The sequence below is a fragment of the Homo sapiens genome, chromosome 3 (genome assembly GCF_000001405.40).
Source record: "Homo sapiens chromosome 3, GRCh38.p14 Primary Assembly".
NCBI classification, from domain to species: domain Eukaryota; kingdom Metazoa; phylum Chordata; class Mammalia; order Primates; family Hominidae; genus Homo; species Homo sapiens.
In genome coordinates this window covers 121,986,127-122,004,526 of record NC_000003.12, presented here as the reverse complement: position 1 = coordinate 122,004,526, position 18,400 = coordinate 121,986,127, and the positions used below count along the sequence as shown (strand labels likewise).

The following is an 18,400-nucleotide window of genomic DNA, read 5'->3' as shown; positions in this document are numbered from 1 at the left end:
GCATCCCAATTCTGCATTTACAGGGTATATGAACCTGGGCAAGCCTCTCCAATTTTTTCAGCCTCAATTTCTATAAAATGGGACTTGCCATAGTACCTAGCTCATGGAGATTTGTGGGGACTAAGGTAATATGTATAAAGCATTTAGCAAACAGGAAGTGGGCAGTAAGCATTAGTTATCACTCCGTGTACTTTTGGATAAATGGCTTAGCTTAGCTCCTCATATTTCTATTGTGTAATCCACAGTTGCTGCCATAGAGTAGCACATAATTCAGAGCCTATTTCAATGGGCTTTATGTGCTGTGTTAAATAAATATTTGTTAGTTAAAAGGGGAAAAAGGGAAGAATACACCCAGTGGGCCACTCATGGTGGCCATCGCTACAATATCAAGGAATCAGTGAATATTCTGACTGTTTAAAGGTAGGTCACTTAAGGGGAACCAGTTTAATAATTGCTTTCAGTTTTGTCTATAACACTTAAGTCTGATTTTTTTTTTTTTTACATTCGGCATCTGATTTTCCCCAAGCCAGCCCTCAGTTTTAGGGTACATCTGTCCTTCTTTTCTAGTCTTCAGGGGCATCTTCAAAGATCCAAGGTGGTTCTGCCTTTTCCAAAGCCAGCAGAATTTGTTCTTATCTGACCTCAAAGTTTCAAGCCTCTTTAATTAGCAAATTACCTGAACAGTTTCTGAAGGATGGAAATCCCCATAGTAGCTAGTCCCTGCTCTTATTATTTTTTTTTTTCTAAAAACGTGAAGGTAAATACCTTCCACTACTCCCACTCCCAGCCACCTTTGGCTCAAACCCTGCTTCATTCTTACTACCACAGGAATGCATTAGTATTCTCCTCTGTTTTTATTTCTGTCTCCAGGCTTGTTGTGACTTCCTGAAGCCCTTGTTTTCTGACACTTTTTTGCCTATGCCTGCATCATTTGAGATGACCCTGTCAAATCAGTCCTTAGATCCTTTAAAATATTAACATATCTGAAAACTCTTCTTACTCTGACACCCCTAAAATACTCTTTATGTCACCAATAAAAATTAGAGCAGATTTACAATACACATCATGCCCTGAGGGGGAGTTTTTTAAAAGCACTTTCATCATTTTTCCAAGTCTGGGGTAAGCTTATTTCTGGGAAAGGTAGTGGGTTTGGAAAATAGCGGGTAGGAAAAAAATTGTAGATATTGACGTAGAAAGAGAAGGAAACAGAAGTCAAAGTTAGGTCCACTGGTGCGTGACCTTGCATTTTTGTTTCATTTCCTCAATAAACATTTCTTGACAAACAGATAATAAAGAATTGCAGATATTACCACCAACCTAGCAGGAGCAAGTCTGTAATGCTAAGGTTCCGTGGCATTTACTGTGGGTGGGGGAGCTGGAACTGCCTGCCGCTGCACTTCACACGGAGGCTGCCCTGATGCCTTTGACTGGATTTTAAACCCTTTCAGGACAGAAGAGGGTCTTGTTTCTCTTTACATCTCCTCGGTGCCTGACATAATGCTGGACCCACAAAAGGGCTTTAGTGAATATTTATTGACTTTGCTAAACTTGAACATAAATATTAACCATTCATTTTAAATTCCTTGTAGATGCTGGATATTAGACATTTGTCAGATGGATAGATTGCAAAAGTTTTCTCGCATTCTGTAGGTTGTCTGTCCACCCTGATGATCTTATAAGTGGAAGCTGGATGACGAGAATGCATGGTCACATGGGGGGAACAATACACACCGCGGCCTGTTGGAGGGTGTGGGGATGTAGGAGGGAGAGCGTCAGGAAGCACAGCTAATGGATGCTTGGCTTTATACCGAGGTGATGGGATGATCTGTGCAGCAAACCGCCATGGCACATGTTTACCTGTGTAACAAACCTGCACATATACCCCTGACCTTAAAATTAAAAAAAAAATGAATGTACAGCAAATATATATATAAACCATTCATCTATCCTAATGGAGGTACACAAAAAACCTGAGTGCCCACTAGAACTGAAACTCTTCTTGAGTTACATTTACTTTTAAAATACTGGCATTTTATCTTTATTCAAGTTCATCTCATACCTGTCCTTCAGGATCCAGAGATAACTGCTCATTTTAGGCTGATAAGGGACCCAGAATGTGGAGTTTTTCCACCCAATTTAGAGAAGACAGGAAAGCTTGGTGGTTAAGAGTACCAGCTTTGAGGCAGAGAGATGTGGGTTTGAACCTACCTCTGATGAGCATTGTCTCCATGTTATTAGGCCAGTTCCTTTGAGTCTTGATTTTCTTCATCTGAAATGCAGCTAAATAATCATTTCCAGTGTACCAGTTAGGATTAGGTTTGATTGCGAGTAAGTAAAAGCCCCATATACTGGCAACTTAAACAGTATTTTATTTTTAACTTTTTTTTGAGATAGGGTCTCACTGTGTTGCCCAGGCTGGAGTGCATTAGCACACTCATAGCTCACTGCAGCTTCAACTTCCTGGGCTCAAGCGATCCTCCCACCTCGGTCTCCAGAGAAGCTGGGACTATAGGCACATGCCACCATGGCTGGATAATTTTTTTTTTATTATTTTTTGTAAATACAAGGTCTTGCCATGCTGCCCAGGTCTTGAGGGTGTCATGGGTTAGAAACCAGTGCTCTCTCCTCTGACACTGGCACTTTCTCCCTCCTTACTGTGTAGGAGCAGATCTCGTGATAAATGAAGTGATGTGGTGGGACCATGGAGTGTATTACTGCACCATTGAGGCTCCAGGGGACACATCAGGAGACCCCGATAAGGAAGTAAAGCTCATCGTCCTACGTAAGTGCTACTGGAGCTTTCTATTCAGTCACCCTCACTGCCGTAACACTTTTACTCACAGGAAAAAAAAAAAAAAACCAGAAATAAGCAAGCCTAAGTTCTTGTCATTGGATTATCAACCTCTAAAGTTCCCTTATCAAAGCTAAACTTTTACCTTTTTGCCAGTATATTGCTCAACTTTAACCTGTAGGTCAAGAGCTGTGTTTATGAGACCTCTAGGATATCAGAACTGGAAGTATTCCCTCCCCCTGAATATTTAGTTCAACCCCTGCTTGGCTTCTCCCCTGCAGACTGGCTGACAGTGATCTTCATCATCCTGGGAGCCCTCCTCCTCCTGCTGCTGATTGGAGTGTGCTGGTGCCAGTGCTGTCCTCAGTATTGCTGCTGCTATATCCGCTGTCCCTGCTGTCCTGCCCACTGCTGCTGTCCTGAGGAAGGTGAGAGGGGACAGACAAGCAGTGGAATGGAGTGGATTAGGGACCAGGACGTCAAGCAGATCAGCTTCAAGTGCCAGGTCAAAGATTCTTCCAGGTTCTCCTCCATGCCCTTCTCCCATCATAGGGACAGAGGACATTAGCCTCAGCCCTGAAAATGATGCCTGGGGAGGCTAGGTAGCCACATGGAAGGACATTTGCCTGTCCACTCCTCAGGCTGCCTAAAGCATCTCTCAGATAGCTCTGCCTACTGATGGCATTTCCTCTGCAGCCCTGATGTACCTGTGCTTCGATCTTCATTCCTAGCACTGACCTCATTTAGACATAAGGTGGGCTGGAGCGAGTGGTTTAAATAAGCCAGTAAGAGAGAAGGCCACTTGTAAAGGAAAACAAAACTGTTTTTTCCTATTCTCACATGCCACTCGATACTTCTGACACCAAGTGTGTGTGTGTTTTCCCCACACAAAAAGGAATTACTCAGCGCACACCAACTGAATGTCCTATAATTTAACTCAATTCTGATGCTATTTACCTGGAAATAGCACCAGACCCCACAGGTGGAAGGCTTAGTCCCACAAGACTGCCCCCTACTTCAGATGCTAATTGCAGTTGCAACTAGTAGGTTGTCACCTGTGCTTCTGAGCAAATGGCTATAAACTGGGAGTTACAATGACCCTTTCCTCCAGTTCAATTAATTTGCTAGAGCAGTTCACAGAATTTAAGGAAACAGTTTACTTATGTTTACCCACTTATTACAAAGAATATTTAAAAGAATACAAGTGAACAGCCAAATGAAGAGATGTATAGAGCAAGGTATGTGGGAGCGGGGAGGGGCTTCCATGTCCTCTCCAGGTGTGCCACCCTCCCAGGACCTCCGTCTTCAGCAGCCAGGAAGCTCCTTGAACCTAGTCCTTTTGGGTTTTTATGGAGACTTCATTACATAGGCATGATTGATTAAGTCATTGGCTATCAGTGATCAAGTCACCTTCAGCCACTCTCCCCTCTCCAGAGGTCAGGAGGTAGGGATGATTTCTGTTTTTTCTTTTTTTTTTTTTTTCCTCCTTAACTTAATTTTTGGCTGCCATCTCCGTTTTCTGACTCAACCTGTCTGGGGCAGGACCTGAGAATTTTTATTTCTCTGGCAATCAAAATGAGTGACTGAGGCATAAGTCTCAGATCATTGAGGTTTATTGAGCTAGCTTGAGGGCATACCCAGGGAAAAAACATAAGTCACAGATGCATCTGTGGCTGTTTTTTTTTTTCAAAGAGGTTCCCAGGAGGTTTAGTATTTATACATTTTCCTTAAGAAGTGGGAGGCAGCAATGAAACAAATGATTATATACTTGTGAAACTTTAGTTAGTGCCCAGCAAATCTATATTTTACATAAGATAAGGTGAATATTAGAAAAGGGGAAAAGAAGAATTAGACCTTATCTTGCCTTTGTTCTGTACCTGGGAAGATAAACTAGTAATTGACATTATCCACGTGGAGTCTTTTGAAAGGGGTGGTCACTGTGAGAGGGGATATAATGAGGTGAGTCTGACCTCCCATCCCGTCATGGCCATGAACTTAGCTTCCAAGATTTCTCTGGGGTCCCCTTGGCCAAGAGGGGGTCTGTTAGTCATTTGGGGGCTTAGAACTTTATTTGTATTTCTTATCTCAAAAGTTTCCAGGTGATGTGCTGCTGCTGGTAGAGGAGCCACACTTTGAGAATCCTTGAGTTAGGGCAAGGGAAGAGGGAGCAGATGATCTTGCTTTCAATGTGATCTTCCTTTGGACTAACATCTGATCCTTTAAAACAGAGCTATAACAGAATTATGCCCTAAAAAATGTTGGCTACAGAATACATGGTAAAGGCAAAATAATACAAAATTATTCTATAAAGTTATTTTCTTGGTCAAATAGATGGAATAGCACCAACTGCTTTAAATAGAAGGTTTTTAATTTTTTTTGGCTTCTATTTTCAATAACATTTCCTCTTCCAGATGATCTAAATAAAGTACTATATTGTAGGAAATTTGAGAAATTCAGGAAAATGTAATGACTCATCTGAGTACCCAGAGATAACCACCTTTATCAGTTTGATCCATTTGAAAGGAAATTTTTTAAGGGAAAAATAATGAATGACCTATTAAGATAGAAACAAAACCTGATCTACAATGTGAAGAAAGTCGGTGGCCTGAGTCTGGTTTCAGGCCTGTGCTCTGAGGTTGCTGTCTTACAGGAAAAGAGAACTAACTTTTATTGGATGTCTGATGTGTAGTCCCCTTGCATACGTTTCCTCACTGAATCCTCACAACCACCCTAGAAGGCAGAAGTCATCTCTTTTAAAAGATGGGAGACCAAAGGTCAGAAAAGCCCCACAGCTAGGAAGTAGCAGTGGTTTTGCAGAGTTGAATCCATGTTCATCTGACTTGTGAGAGTCTGCATTCCTACAGCAGAGACTGCCACAGCCTCTGTAGGTGGATCACTGTGGGATTGGCTAAGACACCGTAGGAGGGGAAAAGTCGTGGAGGATGCAGCATTGGACTGTGGGGCCCCCTACCTTTCAGGGATCTTAGGGAGGAGGCCATGGAGAAATCACTGTCACTGGAGTAATAATATGCAGGATGAGATAAGAAAAACCCGCCCAAGATGCCTGCTTAGACTCCCTAGGTTCGTGGGGCACTAAAAGCAGGCAAGACTGGGGACAAAGCTAACACAAATGATAAGTGCACCACTTATTAGTAAACTAATAAATGGAGGTTCTGCGGGAGAGTTGTTTCTCCTGAGGGATTAGGTTCATTTTAAAAAACTAGTAAAATCAAGAAATGTAGATTACAAAGATCCCTGAACTTGGGCCGATGAGGTCACTTTCAAAGTGAGTCACTGGGGTAGACTGTCCTGAGAAGTTTGTTGACAAGAAGAATTGCATGGAAGGGCATGAGTTATTAAAGAAAGCTCTTTGGTTAGAGGAGTAAGGAGTTATTGTTGGTGTTTGTAGAATAAGGTAATCCTAAACATGTTTATAAGCAAAGAACCAAGGTTAATATCAAATGAGTAAAGTGAAGCATTAAGAAGTGAGGTCACTGATGAGTGATGAAGCTGGTAGGAGTGGCCTCAGCCCTACAAGGAAAGAACTGGCCTTAGAAAGGGAGCGGAAGGGAAAGGGAAGCAGCCTGGCCTCTGAAGACAGAAAGGAAGTCATTAAAATGTGGAGGATGATTAAGATGTAAGGGAGGAAGCTGAGGGAGCTCACATCTGCCTGACTCGATTTCAGCAAATCAAAATTCTAGATGCAGAAGGAAGCTTCAAGAAACATGTCAGTGATTCTTGAACTTCTTTGATCACATCCCACCTCCCCAACCTGCTCCCACTTTCTAGTGAGAGTTAAAAAAGGATTAGAGAGGAGAAAAATGAAAATAAGACCAAATTTTAGTAACCCTTGATAGTTCACCTAATAGTGGTAAACAGCCCTCTGTAGGACTTAAAGATAGACATTTTTGAAATGGAAACGTATTTTTTCCCTAAGAACTGGAGAAACGGCTTTCATCCCTAGAGCAGTTACTGGCCCTCCTTACTGGAGAACCTCCAGGCATGCCCAGCAGTAGGCCACAGCCACAGTGAGACTCTCTGATCTCTCCTGCCCCATCTCCTTCTGCCTCACAGCTGAGGGAAGTGAAGTCGAGGGAGATTTTTCCACAATTACTTGTTACAGCCTGTTAGCAGTGGGCCCTGGACTAAACCTAGGTTTCTTGGCTCCACGTTCAGGGCTGGTTCCTCTTCATCAATAGAGATGAAGTCATCAGCAGAAAGTTCACAGGCAGGGGAAGACCTAAGAGGTGGGGAATGTTTAACCTGCTGCTATAGAGGAGGGAATGCATGTTTGAGAGGTCAAGAAGGAAAGCCCTATTGGGAGGAGGGCTATTTGAGGTCAATTGCCTGGTTGGGACCCAGAAGCATCTGCTGGTAGTTTCCTAAAGCTAAAATGACAAGAGTTCAAAGGGGCATCAGATTCTAGGAAACACCTGAGGATGTCCCAGAAATGACTGGTCAGTCAAATCAGGGAGGACTGGTAGTTTTGGAGAAAGCAAATAGACTAAGTGACCATAGGTTAAAAGAAGGGCAAGGGCTGGGCATGGTGGCTCATGCCCGTAATCCCAGTACTTTGGGAGGCCGAGGCAGGCAGATCGCCTGAGGTCAGGAGTTCAAAACCAGCCTGGCCAACATGGTGAAACCCTATCTCTACTAAAAATACAAAAATTAACTGAGCATGGTGGTGGGCGCCTGTAATCCCAGCTACTCGGGAGGCTGAGACAGAAGAATCGCTTGAACCCCAGAGGCGAAGGTTGCAGTGAGCCGAGATCGTGCCATTGCACTCCAGCCTGGGTGACATAGCGAGACTCCATCTCAAACAAAACAAAACAACAACAACAAAAAAAACAAAACAAGGGCAAGAATGGGTTCTGTAAGAGTGGAGAGGGGATGGTAAGGAATGGTGACCAAAGGGTTGTTGAGAATCCTCAGCAGTCAATTCCAAGTTGACTCCTACATTATTGGAACAGGGAGCTTGTTGAAAATACAAATTTTCTTGCCTTGCATTAGACCAGCTGAAGGAGAGTCCCTGGGAGTGAGGCTCAGAAAGCTGTATTTTTAACAAGCTCATTAAGGGTGACTAAGGCAGATTTTACTCCACTGAGGTTAAAAGATAACTTATTGGGAGTCTTTTGCAGCTTTGTTGCCTTATCCAGGTTTCCTACTTTTATTGCCTATCTGATTCCCCATTAGGTGAGCAACAGATACCCCTGATAGCCTAGACATCCCGTGAGGCTGTTTTCAGGGATGCAGGGGAAGGCACGCAAGAGAAAAGCTCAAAGGCTGTGTCTTCCATCCTGTTTCATTAGTTTTAGTGCAAGAAGGAAGGGTGAGACCCTGGAAAAATGGTGTGGCAGCTAAGGGAGCAGGTGAATTAATCTCTGGACTGTGTGAAAAAAACTCAGGGAAATGTCAGAAACACTCATGGAGGATCTGGAAGGGTTGTTAGAGAGTTATTTGTGGAAGGAGTCCCATTAGTGAAAAAATCATTTGAGGAGCAAAGAGGAAGCACAACTCTGCCTTTCTCCCTGATTGAAGGAAGCAGGAGGAGTGGCTAAATGGGAATAGGACCATCTGGAAGAAGCTAGGATTCCATTAAAGGGGTACAGTGGGTAGGGTTGTTCTCCTTGGAATCAGATGTCCCGAGGCTATGGAAGGAGAGACTAGTCTGGAGTGGACTTTGAAAGGTCTGGAGCCGAGTTAGAGAGAGGTAAATTGAGGAGGTGCCTGCAGGGAAGGTTTTTTGCTTCATCACAGAAAATAAAGGAGTCTGGGGACTTGGCGGTGCGGCACACAAAGAGTGTAGGCTTGAGCGTCACACAGGTTCACACCCTGGCTCTGCCAGTCGCTAGCTGTAGGACCTTAGGCTGGGAAGGTAATCTCTCTGAGCCCAGCTTCCTCATTGGATTCCCACGTGAAGAGATTTTTCAGAGAACTAGTTAGCTTATGTAAAGTAAATTACATGTATAAGGCTGGGCATTCCAGTATGTGTGTTGGTGGTGGCCAGAAGAGGGAGCTAGGGAGAGGCATCTCTGCAGAGGGAGAGGGCAGTGCTGAGCCTGTGGACCTGTCTTCAGGGAGGCTCCAGGTGATCAGCTGGCATGAAGGTGTAGCTGCTGGGGGAGCTGCTGCAAGTTTGCCTCTGATTTCTTCCAGGCTAGGCTGTGACTCACACTGAGGGTTGGAGCTCCGGACATTTCTGGGGACTCTGTTACAACCACTTCCTGTTGTGCTGGAAGTTTCATACTGGAATCACTGAGCAGCCCACTGGATGACCCCTTTGCTGCTGGCCTTGGCAAACCCTACACCCTATGTGGCTGTGTTCAGGATGCCAGCTTTCTGCCCCCTTCTACTGTACGTGGCCCTGCTGTTTTAGGGGTGGCCACAGGGCCCAGGGAAGCAAGGAGGAACTGAGAATGCCAGGCTGGGGCCTAACCTCGTTCACACTGAGGCTGGCACTTCCTGCACTTAACGTACAGGCACACGTCCAACACGCGTGGATAGGCAGAGCCCTTAGGAAACATGAGGCACTCAGCCACAACTACCCCAAAATAGAAAAGCACAAACAAAAACAACGAAATGCTTTTGTTTTTAATTTGTACTCACTGCGGGTTGTATGCCTCAGACCAGCCCCACCTAAGGGGCTGGAGTGACATTTTTATGGATCCCTTGCACTACTTTTTTTATATGATTTTCTTTGCCATAAAAGGAAATAGTATTTCTCATCTCCCTTCCCTGCTTCCACCCCACCCCTGAGAAATTCCCCTACTTAGGGACAATCTCAATACTTAATAAGGCGGGAAGAGTAGAAAGGACTCACTGGAATCTACTTGAGCTTTTTGCACGCCCTTGCCTTCTTCCCACAAACTTTCTTCCACCCAGGGTTGGCATGCCAGCTAGAAATACTCTTCCATGCAATTGCCAAGTAATTCTGCCCATTATCTTCAGTATCATGCCCTTCCCTTTTTCCTTCACTCTGAGCAGATGCCCCCAGCCCCTGACTCACAGCATCCTCTAAGTCCTTCGCATCTGGACCTTCTGTTTCTGGCCTTTGGCTTCTAGTTTTATTGGCCTATGGCCCACTTATTCATTGTATGCTAGTATCCATGAATCTACCTATGCATTTTGGGTGACCTTAGGAATGGGCAAGATGATGAAATGATTTTGAGGCTAGGAAGTCAAGTTTTAAGAATATACTTTACTGGGGTACAAAAGTTGCAGTCTTGAAGATAATTTAATTCCAGCTCCTCGCCAGGGGGACAGTTAATTTACTACCCCCTTAACCCTTACTCCCATGCAAAATAGGTGAGAATGGACAAGAGAAGCTGGCCTCTTGCAAGGCCCCTAGGTGGAAAGAAGTGAAGTGGGAGGTGTGGGGCTTGCCCTGGCTGAGGGCCTGCATTTCTCCTTCTTTCCCTGCAGCCCTGGCCCGCCACCGCTACATGAAGCAGGCCCAGGCCCTAGGTCCTCAGATGATGGGAAAACCCCTGTACTGGGGGGCGGACAGGAGCTCCCAGGTTTCATCTTATCCAATGCACCCGCTGCTGCAGCGAGGTAAACTCTTCCAGAGATTTGGGATAGGGGAGGGCAGAGGGCAAGGGCGGGAACATGGGCTACATCAAGACCTCTGTGACCGATGCGGCAGGCATCTTCATGATGGAGATGGGAGGGATTCATGCTAACCAATGTCACATTTTGATGTCCTGATTCTGAGGTGTATGTTTTGGGCCATTTGTTCTATTGTCCTGTCCTTGTTTCCATTCAGATTTGTCCCTGCCGTCCAGCCTCCCGCAGATGCCAATGACCCAGACCACCAATCAGCCTCCCATCGCCAATGGTGTCCTGGAGTATTTGGAGAAAGAACTGCGGAACCTCAACCTGGCCCAGCCTCTGCCCCCTGACCTCAAAGGCAGATTTGGCCATCCCTGCAGCATGCTGTCCTCCCTGGGCTCTGAGGTCGTGGAACGCAGAATCATCCACCTGCCCCCACTGATCAGAGACCTGTCATCCTCAAGGAGGACCAGTGACTCCCTGCACCAGCAGTGGCTCACCCCAATTCCCTCCAGGCCCTGGGATCTGAGGGAGGGGAGAAGCCACCACCATTACCCTGATTTCCACCAGGAGCTCCAGGACCGGGGGCCAAAGTCTTGGGCATTGGAAAGAAGGGAGTTGGACCCATCGTGGAGTGGAAGGCACCGTAGCTCTAGGCTGAATGGGTCACCCATACACTGGTCAGACAGGGACAGCCTAAGCGATGTCCCCTCATCCAGTGAGGCACGCTGGCGGCCGAGCCACCCTCCTTTCAGGAGCCGCTGTCAGGAGAGGCCCCGCAGGCCCAGCCCCCGGGAGAGCACTCAGAGGCACGGGAGACGACGCAGGCACCGCAGCTACTCTCCTCCCTTGCCCTCCGGCCTCAGTTCCTGGAGCTCTGAAGAGGACAAGGAGAGGCAGCCCCAGAGCTGGCGGGCCCACCGCCGCGGCTCGCACTCCCCACACTGGCCCGAGGAGAAGCCGCCTAGCTACCGCTCACTTGATATCACTCCAGGCAAGAATAGCAGGAAAAAAGGGAGTGTGGAGAGGCGCTCGGTGAGCCTGGGGCATCCTGCTGAGGGTTGGGCATGGGCAGAGAGGAGCCTCCAGCCAGGCATGACCACAGCCAACACAGGCTGCCTCTCATTCCACCACAGAGGGTGCCTCCTCCCTGTTTTGCCCAAATTACACTGTGGGCTAGGTGGACTACCTCTTGTCAGAGCTAAAGAAATCAAGCGAGTGCAGAGGGCAGGGGAGAGTTCGCTGCCTGTGAAGGGCCTTCTCACCGTCGCTTCGGCTGTCATCGCAGTCCTGTGGGGTAGGCCAAGCGAGGTCACAGGAGAAAATGAGGCTCAGCATGATTAAGCACCTTGCAAGCCATGAGCTAGGACTTGAATGCAGGCTGTTGTGGCTAGAGCCTCACCTTCCTTCACAGCTGCTTTGCTTTCTTTACTTAGCAACCCATTTCCATACCCCAAATTAGAACACTGGGCCTGACAGAAGACACTTGTTAAGTCAGCATTGCAAGGCCCTGGTATATATGAGGTTGGGACCCTCTGAGACATCCCCTGGAAAGGACCATTAAACTGATTTTTAAAACCCTGATATTCCATATATGGGCCAAAACATTAAGATTCTGTGAATAGGCAAGATGCCAATGGGTGCCAGACATAGTTAAAAGGGGAACACAGAAGGAAGTAGGCCTTTAGGGCCCCTAGAAACAGATCTTTTGTATTTTTTTAAAGAAGTGACTTTAAAAATTATTTGGGGCTGGGTGTGGTGGTTCATGCCTGTAATCCCAGCACTTTGGGAGGCCGAGGCGGGTGGATCACCTGAGGTCAGGAGTTCAAGACCAGCCTGGCCAACATGGTGAAACTGTGTCTCTACTAAAAATACAAAAAATTAGCTGGGTGTGGTGGCGGGTGCCTGTAATCCAAGTTACTCAGGAGGCTGAGGCAAGAGAATCACTTGAATCTGGGAAGAGGAGGTTGCAGTGAGCTGAGATCGTGCCATTGCACTCCAGCCTGGGTGACAAGAGCAAAACTCTGTCTCAAAAAAAAAATTTATAATTAATACATCCAAATGACAGCAGTCCTTTAATGTTGCCACTTTGCAAAGATATGTTGCCATTGCTCAAAAACATTAATAAACTGCCTCAGAGCCAACTTACAGGCTACCCATGAAGATCTTTTCTCTATTTGACCAAAATCCTTTTCTCTTTTGCTTCTGTTGAGATAGTCAAAGGTATATGCAGTAACTCTGAAATAAGTTCCCGGAGCAGAGAGATATTATAAAAGAAGAAGTGTAGTCTGTCACAGGCTTTGAAGGATACAACTCTCATTTGGAAGTACATGTTCTGCTGTGAGTTTTTTAAAAACTCAATCACATACATGGTGTGTGCAAAGGAGCAGGCCTCTTAGGAGAGCCACACTGCTGCTCTTTCTAGAGCAGAGCCTTGGTGAGAGAGTGATTTGTGAGGAAGGTAGCAAAGACCAGCAGACATTTCTGTAATAATTAATGGCAATTATGTCATCTTCTCACAGATGTCCCTTGAGTGACAAGGATCAACAAAATAGTGAAAATAGCTACCCCTTGCTAAGCGGTACTGAGTTATAGACATCTTATATAACATCTTACTTAATCCTCACAACAACCCTGTGTGTTTTGTACTATTATCCTCATTTACAGATGATACAACTATTTCTTCCGTGTTACCAGTAAGAAAATTACGTCCTGAAAGAAAACACAATCACACTTCCTTTACTCATGTAGTGACTAAACCAGGTCTCTTCATTATAACAACAACAACAAAAAAAGTTAAGATCCAGTTTTGGGCCCCAAATCTACATGCTATCTTCTTCTAAGTTAAATTATTTTCTTTTCATTTTCTGTAAGTTAAATTATGTGACTTCTTGTAAGTGAGAAAAGGGTGAGGAACACCAGTTACATTCCAGACACTGGATAAGCCCTTTAAGCCCTTTCCAGGCTTTCTTTTTTTTTTCTTTTTGAGACAGAGTCTCGTTCTGTCACCAGGCTGGAGGGCAGTGGTGCAATCTCGGCTCTCTGCAACCTCTGCCTCCCCAGTTCAAGCGATTCTCCAGCCTCAGCCTCGTGATTAGCTGGGACTACAGGCATATGCCAGCACACCCAGCTAACTTTTGTGTTTTTAGTACAGATGGGGTTTCACCATGTTGGCCGGGATGGTCTCGATCTCTTGACCTCGTGATCTGCCCGCCTCGACCTCCCAAAGTGCTGGGATTACAGGCATGAGCCACTGTGCCTGGCCTCCAAGCTTTATTTCATTTAATCCTCACAACTATGGGAGCCTCTGAGAGGTTGAGTAGCATGCTCAAAGCCACACAGCCAATAGGGAGTGAAGCTTAGGTTTGAATTGCGCTTTGATTCTCAAGCCTGTGCCCTTTCAATAATTCATGCTGCCTCCTTAGAGAGAAGTATAGTCAAGTGCAGTGGCATGTACCCGTAGTCCCAGCTACTCAGGAGTATAGGAGGATCACTTGAGCCCAGGTTCTAGGCTCAGTGAGCCATGATTGCACCACTGCACTCCAGCCTGAGCACAGAATGCGACCTTGACTCAGAAAAAAAAGGAAGAGAGAAAGAGATTATCATTTGGAGTCAATGATATCTTCTGGTGACTTTATTTCTTCCTAATTTTCTGAAAATATCACAGCTTCCTTTACCACCTACCACAACCAAACCAAATTTTCAATTGTAAAGTTACTCCCAAGAAGCAAAGATTTTGTACAAGAAATTGTAAAAGCCTCCATTGTTTGGAATCTCTTTGAGCTTATCTCCCAAGGAGTTATCACTTTACTTATCACATTCAACTTTCCATTCATATTCTGACAGTGAGCAGAGGCCCAGGATCAAAGCTTGATTTGGCAGATTGCTCAGTTTGAAGGCACTGTGTTTAGTTTGTTTTGTTTGTAACTGGAATTTTGAATGCATTTACTGAGGCAAAGTCTGCAGGGCCAAAGTCTTGCTGTTCCCTCCTCTCCTTGGGGCTGGCTGCTGCTTCTTACACAGGCTGCCTTCCTAGCCTCTGGAGTCATTGGAGCTTGTAGTGAAACATCCTAATACAATTGGGCCTCTAGATGGTGACCTTCCATCATGCAGCACTGGAAGTTCCTGTTTACTGCTTGAGTTGATAAGATGTATCACTATTTTCCTAAAGCAGGCTTTCAGCAGCTACAGCTTTACCATAACTTTTTATAAAATGCTTATTTAAAATACTTCATTTGGCATTTAGAGAAACATAAATGGAACAACTTTTTTTGTTGTTGTTCATGTGGAACCTTCTCTCTCAAGAGTAATATTTGACAAATAGATATTGACAAACAAGGGCTTCCATGCAGATGATTTCATGGTAACCTGAAATAGATAGGAACGATATGTTACACAGTGCCCATGAGAAAATGGAGGTTATATTGAGGGATCTTCCACCCAACTTCAGAACCAGGATTCCAGCCAAGATCTTCTCAATTCAGGTCTGGTGGCGTTTTCACTCCACTGAAGCTATAACCTCAGAAATATAAGGGGCAAAAACTTCAAGCTTTTACCTTCAGTGAGTACAGACTTGAGTGGCCCAGGCTCCTGGACTCCTTCCAATGAATTATCTTTCCTTCTAATCTTGTCCTAAGACATTCTCAAGGTATTTCTGGCTTCTTCCAAACTTGGCCGGTATACACCTGTTCTAATACAAGAGAAAACCACTGTGTTCTTTCTTCTCCAAGCTAAATTCAAACTTTCTAAAGAGAATCCCAGCTTTTTTCTTGACTTTTTGATTTAATGTTTAAAAAGTTTTATGTCGGCATTCTTAATCTCCTACTTTCAACAAAATGTCTACTCCTTGATCATGTCTAGGTTTTCTTTTAGCAAACTTGGACAAGTTCCTTTTACCACATTTCATTGTTTTCCGTTATGTCAGAGAACATTTATCCTGCAGTATTTTGATTAGAAATCATGACCCCTAAAACTCACTTTCCTGATAAATTGGAAACTTTTTTTTATAGCAACATGAATGTACATACATATGTGATCCCTTTTGAGCAGTATATTTTAGGACAGATACTTCGTTTTCTTATTTCAAATAAGATGAGGAAGGTTACATTCATGGACCACAAGTATAAGTATTCAAAACTTAAATAAAATGATCCCCTACCGTAGCTAGAAAAATATGAGAAATGTAAACCACAGTTCTTCACCCTCACCGAGGAAGTGGAAAAAGCCCAAAGACCAAGTAGAGTGGAATAACTTCTGAAAAAAAGCCACTGAGTTTGGTCAGGAAGAAGTAATTAGTGATCTCTGAAATACAACTTCAGAGAAATACTAAGGTTTGAAGCCAAACTTTTTAGAAAAGGGCTGGGAAGGAATGATTCAGGAGATTATAAAAAGGAAAAAGAGAACTGAGCAATGTCTTCATGAATGAATGGGAGAGAGATGGACTGAAGAATGGAACAGGGTACCCCTTTTTCAGTCTAAGGGAGACTTGAAGGTATTAGAAAACAGAGCAAGAGGCAGAGTGAATTAGACTGGAAGAAATTTTCAGAAATTAAAGGTATTTGAGGGAGTCTCTAGAGAGGTAAGCAAGAAAAACCTAAGCCTGGGGAGAGAGATTGGTTTCATGAAGAGTAAAGAAATACTTTTTAGGTTCAGATCTGCTGTCCTGGCAGCCACCACCCACTTAGGATTTGTAAATCAAGAGCACATTATGTGTTACATGCATAGACGGATTGCACTGACTGGATTTTTTTTGTGTGTGTATTCTTCTATTTCCCAGGAGAAAGACAGCTCTCATAGTGGAAGGAGTGTGGTCATTTAGTCACCAAGCACAGCACAACTTCTGTGGCTACTTCTCGGCTCCTGTGTGTCATCAGCATCACCTAGGTTTCCAGCTGACTTGGGAACTGCAAGTCTGAGTCTAACAGTTTTTGGCTTAGATTCTGAGAATCAAATAGAAGAATTTTAAATACAAGAGTTTGAGATTGGGTATAGTGGCTCACACCTGTAATCACAGCACTTTGGGAGGCTAAGAATCACTTGAGACTAGGAGTTCAAGATCAGCCTGGGAAACATAGTGAGACCCCGTCTCTACAAAAAATATAAAAATTAGTTAGGTGTGGTGGCATGCACTTGTAGTCCCAGCTACTCAAGAGGCTGAGGCAGAAGGATCCCTTGAGCCCAGGAGTGCAAGGCTGCAATGAGCCAGGATCCCATGATCACACATCTGTATTCCAGCCTGGGCAATAGAGCAAGTCCCCATTACTAAAAAACCCAAAAGGCCAAAAAACAAAAAAGTTAGAGTTCGAGGAATTACCAACTGTAGTTTTAGCCTTGGTTCATGCTCTCTTGCATATTTATATAATCTCTGACTTGTAATGGACCCTGACTGGAATGTGATCCCTCAGGAACTTAGTAGCCTGAGTCTTTCAGTAGACTACACTGCCCAGAACCCTGGCCATTCTCAAAATGAGAACTTGGGAATGTTTAAGAAGAAATCAAACATGTTTCAGGAAAAGGAAATCTATGGAGTATTATAGGGACATTCCCATGGGAATGTATCTTCCTCCATGGCATGTCTTGAGGGTCCTTTCTTGTTAGGAGTTTATCCTGCCAGCCCATAAATGGACTATTTATTGTAAGTGTAGAAAATCACAGAGAAGCAGTTTTGCACCAGCCTTATTCCTGTGCCTTGTTTTCCTCTTGCTCTTTTTTTACCTGTATATCTAATTTATATTTTCATATATATTGTGTATTGATTGAAGTCACTTTAAATCCTTCTTGGGAATGACACAGTATATAAATAAGGAAGAAAGAAAACATGCCAAGCTGAGCATGCTGCTCCAAATAAATATCTGCTTTCCTACTTTGGTGCATTTGATTGGATTAAGCCACCTTCACCACTAAAGTTCAGAGAAGACCCCGACCAACCTAGGGAGTTCTGGAGCTACCATTCTCCTGGCACTACTCAGCCTTTCAGAGTTGAGATTTCCCAAGCAGAAGCATCCAGGCAGGTCTTGCCACTCAGAGGGCCCCAGGAAGAAAGGACTGTATTTTCACTATAATAGGCTCTACCACCCCCTCCCATTTTTCGAAGCCCCTTTGGAGGCTTCATGAATCCATCTGTGCTTGACGGAGAGATCCACACTGAGCAGATTGGAAGGAGGTGGCCTGAGTGAAGGAGAGTATGTGTGTATGTTCTTTAACAGTATATCCTTACGTGCTCACTTTAGATCCCATTTATTGACACATCCATTTTCCCCCAGTCTCATTAATTTAATTACATGTGGAGAAAATAGGTTAAATTTCTGCATTAGGTAGACTTCTCTGGGATTTTTTGATTATTCATATTTAATTGGATCTAAATTAGCGAAAATATATATATATTTACAGATAATGTAGACGTAACATTCAGTAGGTGAGAGACTTCTGGTCTGGACAAGATGGCATTGTCCCATTTCCCCTGCTATGCCCTGCTAAGCACAACTTAATAAATTTTGGAAATGGTACAAGAGAAAACCAAAGGATTCTAAAGGGTGTTAAGAAGAAAGCAGGTTGGTTTGAAAACCCAGGACCAGAAGAACAGCACAGAGGCAGGGCATTTTATATCCCCCTATCAGAAGGTATTTCCTGACTTTCCATCTAGCAGCAGAAGGTAGCCCAGTAGCTCATTCTTCCCCCTGAACCTAATGGAGTCCCTCTGGCAACCTCAGGCAAGGGGACTGATTGAGAGTCCTACAAAAAAATAAGTGGACTGATTGAGAGGCCTACAAAAAAAATAAGTGACCAGGGGAAGCACCCTTATTCCCTGCTGGGTCAGAAACTCCTCTTTTCCAAGAAAAGATACTGAGGTGGACAGGAGGAGCTAGTAAGAGAAACCTAGGAAAAATAGGTGGTCCAGTTGGGGAAGCCTTTTTGCACAGGCCTAAGACTGTCCTCTCCTGCCCAGAGATACTAGGATTGGCTGGTAGAACCAGGAAAAGGGACCTGTCACAGACGACATCTCTGAAGCCAGCAACCTGGTCACAGAAGCCACGATGTGGAAGCAAGACTCTCCTCCCA

General features: G+C 44.5%; 1 protein-coding gene and 1 long non-coding RNA gene across 8 annotated transcripts in view, besides 4 other annotated features; one reads left to right on the top strand and one right to left on the bottom strand.

Annotated features, from left to right (window-relative positions):
* The window catches only part of ILDR1 (immunoglobulin like domain containing receptor 1), a 74,333-nt gene extending 57,129 nt beyond the window's left edge, over positions 1 to 17,204 (top strand). For 2 of the 7 annotated variants that reach the window (XM_047448044.1, NM_001199799.2), the window contains exons 4-8: positions 2,663 to 2,782; positions 3,073 to 3,219; positions 10,214 to 10,345; positions 10,557 to 11,377; positions 16,119 to 17,204. In XM_047448044.1, coding sequence (XP_047304000.1) covers positions 2,689 to 2,782; positions 3,073 to 3,219; positions 10,214 to 10,345; positions 10,557 to 11,377; positions 16,119 to 16,160 — 1,236 coding nt within the window. In that variant the 5' untranslated portion in view covers positions 2,663 to 2,688 and the 3' untranslated portion in view covers positions 16,161 to 17,204. The remainder of the gene's footprint in view (positions 1 to 2,662; positions 2,783 to 3,072; positions 3,220 to 10,213; positions 10,346 to 10,556; positions 11,378 to 16,118) is intronic. The other 5 variants (NM_175924.4, XM_005247389.5, XM_011512738.3 and 2 more) reach the window with 4 other exon arrangements.
* Positions 6,892 to 7,001: an enhancer, noted in NCBI's record as "active region_20351". NCBI's record gives its function as "activates an Ori minimal core promoter by ATAC-STARR-seq in GM12878 lymphoblastoid cells {active_cell/tissue: GM12878}" and the evidence as "EXISTENCE:reporter gene assay evidence [ECO:0000049][PMID:35858748]".
* Positions 7,032 to 7,111: an enhancer, noted in NCBI's record as "active region_20350". NCBI's record gives its function as "activates an Ori minimal core promoter by ATAC-STARR-seq in GM12878 lymphoblastoid cells {active_cell/tissue: GM12878}" and the evidence as "EXISTENCE:reporter gene assay evidence [ECO:0000049][PMID:35858748]".
* Positions 8,871 to 9,165: an enhancer, noted in NCBI's record as "tiled region #6303; HepG2 Activating non-DNase unmatched - State 13:Ctcf, and K562 Activating non-DNase unmatched - State 13:Ctcf". NCBI's record gives its function as "activates a minimal TATA promoter and a strong SV40 promoter by Sharpr-MPRA in HepG2 and K562 cells {active_cell/tissue: HepG2 | K562}" and the evidence as "EXISTENCE:reporter gene assay evidence [ECO:0000049][PMID:27701403]".
* Positions 11,258 to 11,759: an enhancer, noted in NCBI's record as "H3K4me1 hESC enhancer chr3:121711615-121712116 (GRCh37/hg19 assembly coordinates)". NCBI's record gives its function as "activates a minimal SCP1, AML or CMV promoter by ChIP-STARR-seq in naive H9 embryonic stem cells {active_cell/tissue: H9 hESC(naive)}" and the evidence as "EXISTENCE:reporter gene assay evidence [ECO:0000049][PMID:30033119]".
* LOC101927010 (uncharacterized) lies at positions 13,948 to 16,348 on the bottom strand. Its single transcript, XR_241555.5, has 2 exons — positions 14,899 to 16,348; positions 13,948 to 14,710 (listed from the first exon to the last, which is right to left on the bottom strand). It is a non-coding gene; the product is annotated as an uncharacterized LOC101927010 (long non-coding RNA).